At 36.7% G+C, this 14626-nt stretch overlaps 1 protein-coding gene and 1 long non-coding RNA gene across 6 annotated transcripts in view; one reads left to right on the top strand and one right to left on the bottom strand.

Moving 5' to 3' along the window:
- Positions 1-14626, top strand: part of TET2-AS1 (TET2 antisense RNA 1) — a 181528-nt gene that overhangs the window by 64457 nt on the left and 102445 nt on the right. The gene's annotated exons all lie outside the window — the stretch shown is intronic.
- Positions 8622-14626, bottom strand: part of TET2 (tet methylcytosine dioxygenase 2) — a 133929-nt gene continuing 127924 nt past the window's right edge. For all 5 annotated transcript variants that reach the window (XM_024454103.2, XM_024454102.2, NM_001127208.3 and 2 more), the window contains one exon: positions 8622-13377. In XM_024454103.2, coding sequence (XP_024309871.1) covers positions 11906-13377 — 1472 coding nt within the window. In that variant the 3' untranslated portion in view covers positions 8622-11905. The remainder of the gene's footprint in view (positions 13378-14626) is intronic.

The following is a 14626-nucleotide window of genomic DNA, read 5'->3' as shown; positions in this document are numbered from 1 at the left end:
GAGAGGCAGGGTTTCAGTGAGCCAATATCATGCCACTACACTCCAGCTTGGGTGACAGAGCAAGACTGTCTCTGCATCCCCACTCACCCTCAAAAAAAAAAAAAAAATTCTAGAAGAATTCATTAAAGGAAATAGAAAATACATTTGAAAGCTTCAACAATAGACTAGACTAGTCAGAAGAAGAAAATTCTAAGACTTGAAGACAGGTCTTTTGAAACAATCTAGCCAGACAATAATGAAGAAAAAATAGGAAAGAATGAGCAAAGCCTTAGTTACATTTTGGAAAAAAGTGGTCAAATATTTAAATTATTGGTATCCCCAAGGGAAAAGGAACAAAATATTAGAAAACATATTTATAGTTTGTGTTTATTGTTTCATATATTATCTTTATTTAACAAGATAATATATGAAAACCTGCTGGATCTAGCAAGAGATTTAGATATTCAGATACAGGAGGCTCAGTAATCCCTGGACTGAACAAGGCAAAAAGGTCTCTACAATACATTACAGCCAGACTAAAGTCAAAGATAAACAGCAAGTTCTAAAAGCAGCAAGGGAAAAGTGCCTAGTCACTTATAAAAGAAATCCCATCAGAGTAACAGTGAATTTCTCAATAAAAACCTTTCAGGCCAGAAGAGAATGGGACGATATATTCAAAGTGCTGAAAGAAAAAAAAAAACAACCTGCCAGACAATACTATACCTAGCAAAATATCTTTTATAAAGTTTTTCCAGACAGGCAAATGCTGAGGAATATTTTACCACTAGAATAGTTCTACAAAAAATGCTTAAGGGAGTCCTAAACCTAAGAGCAAAAGGACATTTACCATCATATAAACACATGAAAGTGTAAAACCTACTGGTAAAGAAATCACACAAAGGAGGAAGAGAAAGGACTCAAATGGTACCACTACAGAAATCCACCAGGATCACAATAACAATAAGAGAAAAAGACAGGAATGAAAAATATACAAAACAACCAGAAAATAATTAGCAATATGATAGGAACAATACTTCCCATATCAATAATAATCTTTAATATAAATAGATTAAATTGTCCACTTAAATGTTGTAGAATGGCTGAATGGATTTTTTAAAAACCATGATCCAACTATATGCTTCTTACAAAAAATTCACCTATAAAGACATATAGATAAAAAGCAAAGGGATAGAAAGTTATTCTGTGCAAAATGAAACTGAAAGCAGGAGTAGCTATACTTACATCAGATAAAACAGATTAAGTCAAGAACAGTTTTTTCTTTTTTAAATTTTTATTTTACTTTAATTTCTGTGATACATGTGCAGAACATGCAGGTTTGCCACATAGGTACCCATGTGCCACAGTGGTCTGCCACACGCATCAACCCGTCACCTAGATATTAAGCCCCACATGCATTAGGCATTTGTCTCAATGCTCTTCCTCACCCCGCCCCCTGACTGGCCCCAGTGTGTGATGTTCCCCTCCCTGTGTCCATGTGTTCTCATTGTTCAGCTCTCACTTATGAGTGAGAGCAGGTGGTGTTTGGTTTTCTGTTCCTGTGTTAGTTTGCTGAGAATGATGGTTTCCAGCTTCATCCATGTCCCTACAAAGGACATGAACTCATCCTTTTTCATGGCTGCATAGTATTACATGGTGGATATGTGCCACATTTTCTTTATCCAGTCTATCACTGATGGGCATTTGGGTTGATTCCAAGTCTTTGCTATTGTAAATAGTGCTGCAATAAACATACGTGTGCATATGTCTTTATAGTGGAATGATTATATTCCTTATGACTAGTAATGGGATTGCTGGGTCAAATGGTATTTCTGGTTCTAGATCCTTCAGGAATCGCCACAGTTTTCCACAATGGTTGAACTAATTTACATTCCCACCAACAGTGTAAAAGTGTTCCTATTTCTCCATAGCCTTGCCAGCATCTGTTGTTTCCTGACTTTTTAATAATTGCCATTCTAACTGGCATGAGATGATATCTCATTGTGGTTTTGATTTGTATTCAATAACAGGTTTTTTTTAAAGCTTTATATATCAATAAAGGATCAGTTCAGTGACAGAACACATAACAATTCTACATATATATGCACCCAACACTGGAGCACCCAGATTCATAAAGCAAATATTACTACATCTACAGGAACAGATAGACTGCAATATATTAATACTGGGTTACTTCAACATTCCATTCTCAGCATTAGACAGATCATTTAGACAGAAAATCAACAAACATTGAGTTTAAACTGGATTTCAGACCAAATGGACCTAACAGACATTTAGAGAACATTCTATTCAACAACTGTGGAATACACATTCTTTTTATCAGCAAATGGACCATTTTTCAAGATAGACCATATGTTAGGCTGCAAACCAAGTCTCAACAAATGTCAAAAAATCAAAATCATATCAAGTATCTTCTCAGACCACAATGGGATACAACTAGAAATCAATACTAAAAACTTTGAAAGCTATAGTTATAAAATTAACATGCTTCTGAAGAAATTAAAATGCAAATTACATTTTTTGACACAAATGAAAATGGAAACACAATATACCAAAACTTGTGGGATACAGCAAAAGCAGTACTAAGAGGGAAGTTTATATCAGTAAATGTCTATATCAAGAGTAGAAAGATTACAAATTAACAATCTCACAGTGTACCTCAAAGAACTAGAAAAGCAAGAACAAATCAAACCCAGAATTAGCAGAAGAAAAGAAATAATAAAAATCAGAGAAGAACTAAATGAAGTCTAGACTGAGAAAAGTACAAAGGATCAACAAAACAAAAAGTTGCTTCTTCAAAAAGATAAACAAAATTGATAAACTGCCAGGTAGACTAACCAAGAAGCGTAGATCCAAATACGATCAGATGAAAAAGGAGACATTACAACTGATAACACAGAAATACAAACACAAACATTTATCGGAGACTATTACAAACAACTATATACAACAAACTGGAAAATCTAAATGAAATGAGTAAGTTCTTAGAAACATTCATCTTATTAAGATTGAATCAAAAAGAAATAGAAAACCTGAACAGATCAACAATGAGTAGTAAAATTGAATCAGTAATAACAAGTCTCCTGAATGGATCCTTAGCCAAATTCTACCAAATGTACAAAAATCACTACTACCAATGTTTCTGAAACTATTCCAAAAAATTAAAGGTGAGAGAATTCTAACTCATTCAACAAGGCCAGCATCACCCTGATGCCAAAAATCAGACAAGGATACGAGGAAAAAGAAAACAGGGCCAATATCTCTGATGAATATAGATGGCAAAAATCATCAACAAAATACTAGCAAATGAAATCCAACAGCAGAACAAAACGATAATACACCACAACCAAGTGAGATTTATCCCAGGGATGCAAGGATTGCTCAATATATGTAAATCAATAAACATGGTATATCGACAAAAAATGAAGGATAAAAACCATATGATTTTCTTAATAGATGCAGAAAAAGCATTTGATAAAATTCAACAATTCATGATGAAAACTCAAACTGGACATAGAACACACCTAAAAACAATAAAGGCCACATATGACAAACACATAGCTAACATCATACCCAATTGGCAAAAGTTGAAAGCCTTTACTAAGAACTGGAACAAGGCAAAAATGACCACTTTTACCCTTTTATTCAACTTCATACTGGAAGTGTTCCCTGAGCAATCAGGAAGGAGAAAAGGCATCCAAATTTGCAAAGAGGAAGTCAAATTGTTCTTCTTTGCTAATGGGATGATCTTATATCTAGACAAACCTAGAGACTCCATGAAAAAAACTCTTAGATCGGACAAATGAATTAAAGTTGCAGGACACAAAATTAGGATACAAAAATCAGTAGCATTTCTATTCACTAATCATGTAGCTGAGAAAGAAATCCCATTTACAATAGATAAGCGCTCCCCCTCCCCCACCAAAAAAAAACCCTAGGAATAAATTTAACCAAGGAGGTAAAAGATCTCTACAAGGAAAAGAACAAAACGTTGATGAAAGAAACTGAAGGCAACACAAATAGAAAAGTATCCATGCTCATGGGTTGGAAAAATTAATATTAAAATGACCACATTGGCCATGGCAATCTATAGATTCAACACGATTCCTATCAAAATACCATTTTATTTCTTTACAGAATTAGAAAAATACTAACATATATATGAAACCCAAAGAGCCTAAATAGCCAAAGCAATCCTGAGCAAAAAGAACAAAGCTGGAAGCACCATGTTACCTAACTTCAAAATATATTACAAGTAACCAAAACAGTATGGTACTGGTTAAAAAAAAAATATATATATATGTGTATATATATATACATATATATATATACGTATATATATATATACATATATATATACACGTATATATATATATATATATGTGTGTGTATATATATATATGTATATATATATATAGACTAGTGGACCAGAATAGAGAATCCAGCAATAAAGCCACATATTTATAGTCAACTGTTTTTTGACAAAGCTGACAAGAACTTACAATAGAAAAAGGACACCCTATTCAATAAATGGTGCTGGAAAAATTGTACAGCCACATGCAGAAGAATGAAACTAGACCCGATCTCTCACCATATACAAAAATCAACTCAAGATGGATTAAAGATGTAAATGTAAAACCTAAAACTGTGAAAACAATAGAAAGAAAACCTAGAGAAAACATTCCTGGATATTGGTCAAAGCAAAGAATTTATGACTAAGACTTCAAAAGCATAGCCAACAAAGACAAAAATAGCCAAATGAGACTATATTAAACTAAAAAGCTGCTGCATAGCAAAGGAAACAATGAACAGAGTGAGAGAACAACTTGTTTTAAATGAGAGAAAATATTTGCAAACTGTTCATCTGACAGGGGACTAATATCAGAATGTAGAAGGAACAGGAAAAAAGCACAAATCTTTTTAAAAAGTAGGCAAAGTAAGTGAATAGACATTTCTCAAAAGAAGATGTACAGATGGCAAACAGGTTTATAATCAGTAATAATCAGAATGATACAATCTATACTGATATAGATTATTACTGATTATTTGCCATTTGTATGGCAAACAGGCTTATGATCAGTAATAATCAGTAATGTATTTCAGTAATAATCAGAGAAATGTAAATCATATCCACAATGAGATATCATCTTATTGCCATTCATAATAGCTATTAGTAAAACAAAACAAAACAAAATAAACACATGTTGGCAAGGATGCAGAAAAAAGGGAACTCTTTTTTTTTTTTTTTTTTTTTTTTTTTGAGATGGAGTCTCGCTCTCGCCCAGGCTGGAGTGCAGTGGCTCGATCTCGGCTCACTGCAATCTCTGCCTCCGGAGTTCATGCCATTCTCCTGCCTCAGCCTCCCGAGTAACTGGGACTACAGGGGCCCGCTACCACGCCTGGCTAATTTTTTTTTGTATTTTTAATATAGACAGGGTTTCACTGTGTGAGCCAGGATGGTCTCGATCTCCTGACCTCGTGATCCGCCCACCTCGGCCTCCCAAAGTGCTGGGATTACAGGCATGAGCCACCGCGCCCGGCCAAGGGAACTCTTTTTACATTGTTTGTGGGAATGTAAATTTTACAGCCACTATAGAAGACAGTATAGAAATTTCTTAAAAAACTAAGAATAGAACTATCATTCAATCCAGCAATCCTACTACGACCTAAAGGGAAAGATGTCAGTACATCAAAGGGATCTCTGCACTGCATATTTATGGCAGCACTATTCACAACAGTAAAGACATGGGATAACCTATATGTCCATCAGTGGATGAATAGATAAAGAAAATGTGGTTTCTACACATAATGGAGCAACCACAGAAAAGAACGAAATCTTGTCACTTGCAGCAACGTAGATGACACTGAGGGGTCATTATTTTAAGTGAAATAAGCCAGGCATAAGACAAATATCATATGTTATATGTGGGTTATCTGTGGGAGCTAAAAAATTTGATCACACGGAGGTAGAGAGTGGAAAGACAGATAACAGAGACTGGGAAGGGTGACTGTGGGGAGAGGAGAGAATGAAGGGAACTGGGTTAAAGTATACAAATATATAGTAAGATAGAATAAAGTCAATATTTGGCCATGTGCAGTGGTGCAAACCTATAATCCCAGCACTTTGGGAGGCTGAGGTGGGCGGATCACCTGAAGTCAGGAGTTTGAGACCAGCCTGGCTAGGTGAAACCCTGACTCTACTAAAAATACAAAAAATTAGCCAGGCGTGGTGGCGTGCACCTGTAGTCCCAGCTACTTGGGAGGCTGAGGTGGGAGAATCACTTGAACCCAGGAGGTGGAGGTTGCAGTGACCTGAGATTGTGCCACTGTACTCCAGCTTGGGCGACAGAGTGGAGTCTTGACTCCATCTCCGAAAAAAAGTTAATAGAGTAGGGTGACTATACTTAAGAAAAATGTTGTACTTGGTGATGGATACCCTAAATACCTTGACTTCATCACTATGCATATAATATATATGTATACATATATATTATATATGTATATATAGTATATATATAGTATATATATGTGTGTGTATATATATATATGTAACAAACTTTCTCACATACCTCATACATTTGTGCCAAAAAAAACCTCATTAGGGAGTAAAATGCCAAATTGAAACAGCATAAAAAGAAATCCCTCCAAAAAACTATATTTGTTGAGTATATATGTGAGGGAAAGTGTGGCTCTTTTAAAGAGTGAATGTTGGATGAGAAAACCAAGGAAGTTTGTGAGAAACTACCTGGTTAGAGAGAATTTAGGCAGGTAGCCTCTAATATATGGGAACAAAAGCATCTTCGTTCTTTGAAACAATTCTCCTAGTAAAACCAAAATAACATAAATGAGTTAATTCTAAGCATCTTTTGTGAACACTTTTTCATTCTTTCAACAACTGTGAGTGTATTGGGGGAGGGGGGCAATGGGGGTGGGGAAGATAAAGTCCCTGACGCCTTACGGATAAGTTGGGTGATTGAAGTTAATAAACAAGTGTCTTCATGAAACAAGCACTTCCCTCAAATCAATTAAGGGAAGAAAAGATGCTTCCCCACACCCTTTTTTCTTTTTTTGATACTCGCCTCCAGATGGCCTTTAAACCAACAAAATCAATCTAAAATTCCCCACACTCTACGGATTAGGTGCCTTGTTGAAAAATGACTTTTCTCGCTAAGTCTGGCTCTTACACAGCCGATGAGTGCTGGGCAGTGGAATCAGGCAGGACTCAAAGATAAGCTAGAATTACCCATAGTGGAAGGATTTTTATGATAAACCAACTGAAAAAAAGTGAGGAAGAAACGGGTGGTACTGTGTGACAGGGCAGCTGTGTGTGCCTACAAGAAAAGGTTTGGCCTTGTTATGTCTTTCCAGGAGAGGCAAGGGGCCAATAAAGCTTTGTGAATGCTGGCTCATCTGTCATTTCCAGCTGTTTCCCCTGTTCAAGTCCACCTGCAGGCTCAGAAGCAGCAGGCCTTCCCACACGTTCATTTATGGTGTGCTAGCATCACCAGCCTCCACTAGTAGAGATCCTAGCAGAATGGGGCTCTAGCAGGAAAGGCTTTTGAGCTTGTGGAGTCTAAAATTCTCCCTGCCCTGGGCAGTGGAGACTTGCAAATGTGGAGTGGGAGGTTCCCAAGGTTCAGCCAGATGATGGATGGTGAAATGAGGGTTGACAATGTGCTCAGAGGGTTGAAATTAAAACAAAAGCCAAGTCATTAGATCATTGTGTTTTAACAGTGATGTTGTGGCTTCTCTTAATATCCTGGCTTGCAGAGTCCTGGAGGAATCTCCCAGTCAATAAGCTCAGAGGTTACTAAATGGTAGTCATTTCCTGGGTTGCACTATTTGAATCAGATTTGGCCCAGGCTGAACAGAGAGAAATGTGAGAAAGGGAATTCCTTTACTTCATGCATGATGAAAATGATTTCTCTGCCAATTTGGGAAGGAATGGAGGGCTGGAAGATTCCCACAACTATTGTTTAGCATCTTGTGGTTCTAGGAAGTGTTTCAGCTGGAGTGCACTGATATTATATATGGGATGATTCACATGGCAGAGAATGGGTAGAGATGAGGATGATTTAGCCTCAAGCTCCTTGAAGCCATGTGGGACTAGATGAGGACAAGTATATTTGTCTGATACCTTCCAGGCCTCCTCTCCCCATTCCTCCAGCCTACCACCCTGCCTTTCTGATGTACAGGAAGAAGTATCTTCCCTTAAGAAGAGTAGGCAAGAAGTGGAAGGTGAGAGTCTGAAAACAGAGTTGGCCTTAGTTCTAAGCAATATGAATTCAACCTTAGTGCACCTGCTATATCACTGAAACCCTTCACAAAACACTGGAGGGGGCAATCTAAGATTAGAGGTGCTTTACTCTCTATCTGATTTACACTGTCTACACATGCAAAGTGAATACACTAACAAGTTAGTTGGAAGGAAAAGTGAGTGAATATCTACACCATTTAACCAGAGAAATACTTCGGCCTTAATTATTTGGGTATTATCTTAGATATAGTTTAACATAAGACTAACTATCTATCTTAAAAGTGTCTTTAAAAATTATTTTTTATTCCCTTTTCTTCATTGAGGTGGCAGTCATTCAAGCACTAAAAAAACTTCAGGAAGACAACACTTAGAGTGCATTAAATAAATATAAATTTTATTAAAAACACTCACATAGCATTATCAGGAATGATATAATAATAAACAGCTTTCAAATAACCTGCATTCATAACATTACAATACTTACAGTATTTATAACCATCCTCAGATCTTATAAACCAAACATCTCATGAAAATGAAATGAAACTAGTTTTTAAAAAAGCATAGAAAAATGCACACAGAAGTTATCTTAGTGTCAAACTGCAAAAGTTTCCTACACAAGTTAACCACTAGCTTCAGAAGTGAACTGTACATCACTGTGCGTCAATCAAGATGAAAAATTCATTCAAGTAAAGTTGACACCACTCAGAAGCATTTTCAAGTATGGCTATATAGTCAACCTGATATTCCTATATTAGCAAATTGTAGATCTGCTTTCCATTCATTCTAACTGAGGCAGGTTTTATATTTACAATTATAGATCTGATATTTACAATATGCCACTCAATTTCTTCTCTTCCTTATGTAAACTCTCCCCAACCCCCCAAACTATACTTCCTGTTCTTGTTGGCCAGCAGTTTAACAAATGACAGTAGGTGACACAGAAATCAAATATTAAGAATGGATGATCAAAATCACCAATGCACATGTAGTAATCAAATGTTTGGGGCTAGATATTATGGTATACAAAAAACATTAAAATCATGTGGTTTGTAAGCAAAGCAAACATTTTTGGAAATGTTTGCAAATTGGACACAACCACAAATTCAAGAAATTTTTTAAAAAGACAAAAGCCAGCTTACAAAGATTTGACCAATAAAACCCAAAGGCCTCCTCTGATTAAGAATTTATTTTAAATACTAGTAAGCAAAAATGTATTTAGGCCAAAATGTAATTGTACAATCTGTTGCACACCATACCTGTAGGTGTTTGCCTGTTTAAGGGAAGTCCACATGGAGTATGTACCTTCAGTGATTACAGGATCAAAAAAACTTCATTTAGAGAGTTACAAGTAAGTCTCTGGCCAACAGCCACTTGCCAAACTCCTGCCTTACAATTTTTCCCTTTATCAACTCAGTGCATTCTATTTTCATGTAATTTTTTTTTCCTGCTTGAAACAGTCAAAAGATTCCTCAAACTTTTAAAATGCTTTTCTTTACAATAAAAAGAGCCAACAGATTTACAAAATTAGTTTTAGTTACATCAGCACATGTACAAGTAAAATAGAAGGGATTCAAAATAAAAGGGTTAAATCCCTGACAAAGAATATATTTATTAACCTACAACAATTTTACATAAACACAGGTGACATGTTGGCATAGGGAGAGCATGAGCTGAAATATCCCTGAATTTTTAGAACAAAAAGGTTGAAGTTCAAGTTATACTTGCTAAGAAATCAAGTATTGAAAAAAGGTATGCTTTTTTTTTTAACAATAAAAAAAAGGACTTGGAAAAAAATGATGGTACACAATGCTTTCACTCTCAGTTCAATATCCTATTGCCAAACTAGTGTTGAGGTATATGACAAGTAGGAACATCACTCAAACATTTAATGAATTCTTAGCTCACATTATGATATATTTGTAGCAGGCTGAGTAGCACCATCATGATGTGAATTCTGCTTCAAACTCATATATATATATATATATATATATATATATATGTATATATTTAATTTTTTTACAGTACTAAAATACTAAAGCATTGCATTAAAAAAGTTTTGTTTACAATTTAATTTACTATACAACTCTTTCACTTCTTTATACAAATTAATGATTTAAAACCACCACAGCAAACCAGCTGCCTGTTTTTGTTTCTTTTTAACTGACAGATTCACATGGAACTAACCCTGTTTATTCATCTTATGCAGGCATCAGTCTGCTCAATCCTCTTGTTAAAGAGGACACTTAAGCTAAGAAATGACAACGTCACAATGTACATAATTATCAACACAAAGGCAGACTGCCATTCAGTTCTCTGAAGAGCCTATGATCCATAAAATAGCATAGGCTTCAGTGAACTAGCTTTGTTGAGTCTGCAGCATGCAGCTAATTATTACCTGCAGTTAATAGAAAATTCTTAAAACTGTACATTTTTGAGCAATGAACTTGTCATACAATTTTGTATAAAACTGTTTTACAGTATAGCATGTGAGATGAGCACCAGAAAACATGTTTTGTGGACTAACGTATTCCCTTGAATCCAGTAAGCCCCATGGTGGATTTAACTGGCTGTGTTAAAAATGGACACAATTGCTCATCAGCAGATGCATGGCTAAAAGCAAAAATATTTTAAAAGCTTTCTTTGTTTCCTTAAAAAAATCAACTTTGCATTCTAAAATGAAAGTAAACTTGTTTTTTAAACATCTCAGTACCTTAGCATTGTTCAAGTTGTCAAAGCTTAGGTAGACAAAGTGCTTCTAAAACACCATTTAAAATATTTATACATATACATGTGTGTGCACATATACATGTTTGTGTATATATGTACATATATACGTTTATTGTCCTACAAGGACTTCACTGGATGAGCAAAATCCAGAGGCCTTTAAAATGTCCACATTTTAAAAACTAAGCTTGTGTAAGAATAGGTAATTATGATAAAAACTTGAATGAAAAGGTACCCCTATTATTCAAGGGCACTGGAGTACACTGATAGCATCTTGATGATATAAAGGCATTAAATTTTTAGCTATTAAAGACACCATTTTCTTAGCACCATTTCTTAGAACATCCAAACAAATTCAGTGTTTTCCTGCTATTCATGTTTCCTGTAGCTATTTTGATAAATAAAAGTTAAGATTACAGTAAAAACTGCATTTCAAAAAGCCATAATTCCAGTATTTCAGTACATCATATATTCAGCACCAGATGGTATTTTAAGATTCCTGTCACTGTAATACTACAGTACTTGTTTGATTTGTGTTCCATGACTATGCAAACTTGATATTATTAAAAGTGGTCACAGATGTGTAGAGTTGTAAGCGGGGGGGGGGGATCACATTTACATATCATCTCGTCCAATAATAGAACCAGTGTTTAAAAATGTAAATTGCGGAACACTTTCTTCCCCACCTTCTTTTTGCATAGAATGCTTTGGTCTTTTCCTAGATGCCATCTGTGACCACTTGGGAGCCAGTGAAAATTAAGTGCTATGGTAAGATAACCTCTTTTGTTGCTGGTGAGCTGAGGTTTTTCCCACCACATTTGTCATGAATACTGTGACCTTTCCCCACTGCCCACGTCATGAGAACTATACTACTGACAGGTTGGTTGTGGTCTTTTCAAGTGAGGTAACCAACAAAAGGGGGTGATATCATATATATCTGTTGTAAGGCCCTGTGACCCGAGTGAAGGCATATGGAGATGTAGTTACTGTGGAGTCTGTGGTCACGGACATGGTCCTTTCGGCAAGAGACTTGATGAAACGCAGGTAAGTGGGCTCTGAAGTTTCATGTGGCTCAGCAGGCTCCCGTTTCACTTTTTTGCCATGGGATTTCTGAGGCACATAGTCTGGGCCATACTTTTCACACTCTTCCTCTTTCTCACGGGCTTTTTCAGCCATTTTGGCTTCCCAAAGAGCCAAGCCATGTTTTGGCTCATTCATGCTCTTATGCTGGTAAAAGACGAGGGAGATCCTGGTGGGGTGATTCCTATTGGGATTCTTTAAAGGGGTTGTGGCATGCAGCTCACGCTTTGCACACTCAATGAGAATTGACCCATGAGTTGGAGCCACGGCCACTCCCCCAATGTCAGGATCCAGAAAGCTCTGCTCGCTGTCTGACCAGACCTCATCGTTGTCCTCTGCACCAGAAGCCACACCCTGGACTAGTGCCAATGGCTGCTTTTCCTGACCATTAGCATCACTTAATTTGTGTAAGCCTCCTTGGACACAAGCAGTTCTATCATGGTTAAGAGCTGGAAGCATCTTTGATAACCCATTAGCTGTGTGGGAAAGCATGTCATTCTCCTTGTTTTGGAGATGCAGGGCATGAAGAGAGCTGTTGAACATGCCCGGAGCTGCACTGTAGTTATGGATTATGTGAGAAGGTGAATGATGTTCACCATTTTTATAGTCCATGTTTGGATTGCTCAGATTGGGTGGTAATCTAGAGGTGGCTCCCATGAAGTGGCCATCCATCTCATGAGTGGGATAAGGAGGCAATTTCCCTACATGATGTACATTTGGTCTAATGGTACAACTGCTGAAACCATCTCCCTGCATATTTTGGTTTCCATAACCTAAGTATTTAGATGTAAAACTCTGGCTATTTCCAAACCTTGGCTGGTAAAGTGTATGGATGGGTGGTAGACTGAGCTTAGACAGAGGGTCTTGGCTTGGATACCTATACAGATCCATCGGCTGAGACTGGGGAGAATAGGAACCCAGATATGGGGAGCAGTTGTCCACTGATAGGTTTCCATTGCATTGATATGATGGATATTGGGTATTCTGATTCAAAAGCCCAGGGTAAGGGTTCATGGGATTAGAAGAATTCAAATATGAACCTGCAGCTTGAGATGAGGTGGAATAGAAGTTCATAGGGCTGGTGCTTCCATAGATATCTGAAGTGTGTGAAGAGTTTGGATAAGGACTAACTGGATTGGGCCGTCTCATGTATGGATTGGTGGATCCAGAAGCAGAATAAGAGTTGACAGACTCTGTCTGAGGGTGATGTGGCTGCTGCTGCTGGGGTCTCTGCTGCTGCTGGGGCTGTGGTGGCTGCTTCTGTAGAGGCTGGGGCTGCTGGGACTGCTGCATGACTGGTCCTGAAAGTCGCAAAAGTTCTGTGGACAGGGTAAGAGAGAACAGAAACAGGTATCTTTGATGTTGATGATTATTTTATGAAGGCTAGTGAGGATACTTAAATGTAGGTAAGAAACTCCACTAGTGATATACGACACCCATTAAGCAAAGATAAGAGCAAAGTCAGGGTTCTGATCATTGTCCAGCACAATTTTTTGTCTAAGGCATTAGAAATACAAAACTTAGTGAAAAAAAAAATGTAATAAACATCCAAAGCCATTCCATTGAGAGCAAAATGTTCTTTGGAACTTCTGAACATGCCTCTGCTTGAAGTGCCTCCCTTTTCCTCCCTCTCTCCCTATCCTTCCTTGGTGTAGTCATCCCTTCCTCAAGGGACCGCTTTGACCTCATCTTCTAGTGCTTTTGTAATACTCAACTGCAAAGATAGATCTGATAAAGCAATACTCACAATGTATTATAGTTATGTTTTTAGCCCTCTCTTCACCCCCACTGGTAAGTAAATTCCTAAATGGGAAGGAAAATGTTTTATTTTACTTACTTCTTCATTGCCTGGCATGCAATGGAATTTGCTAAATAATTAAAATAAGATTTATTATGTAAGATTCGGGAATGTTGTGAAAAAAAAGAATGACACGTATTTAAACACAAAAAGCATCTTATATAATCAACAAGTGCTACTTTATAAGCAGGCTTTCCAGAAAGGAAGTTAACACAGTTGTAGATAACACTTTAAAGAAACTTTCAGCTTTGTAAATGAAACTTTTAAAAGTCATACTTCTGTTTTGACCTCACTTTAAAAAGTCATATGAGTTAAGAACAAATAGATGAAACTGCAATGGCAGTTCTGAGAACAGAAGGGATTATTACCTGCAGAAGCCAGTTAAAAGGGAGCAGAGACAAGGTTCTATCTAATTATATTTCACAGCTAACCTAAGTGAACAGTATTTACTTAGTGTTAAGTCAACCAGTCAATAAACACTTATCAAGCATCTTTAGCATATTCTAAATTATTTAACTTAGTTCCTCTGAGCTTGGAAATGAATCAGTAGAGAAATTTGACTTCATGAAGCAGCAAAGATGGCTAGTTTTAAGCAAACTGGTTTGCTTTTGTTAATGGCCAGGCCAATACCATCCCAAATTTTGGATTTTTTTTCTTTTTACAAACTGCAGACATAAAGCAGGAGGCTATGGAAAGACAATAACTTAGTATTCATGAATAATGTTCTATTGTTATTACTACAGCTGTAATCTATTTTGATGGGTAAAAGT

The sequence above is a fragment of the Homo sapiens genome, chromosome 4 (genome assembly GCF_000001405.40).
Source record: "Homo sapiens chromosome 4, GRCh38.p14 Primary Assembly".
Taxonomy (NCBI): Eukaryota; Metazoa; Chordata; class Mammalia; order Primates; family Hominidae; genus Homo; species Homo sapiens.
Note: the sequence above shows the minus strand (reverse complement) of the source record. Positions and strands in the feature narration are given on the sequence as shown.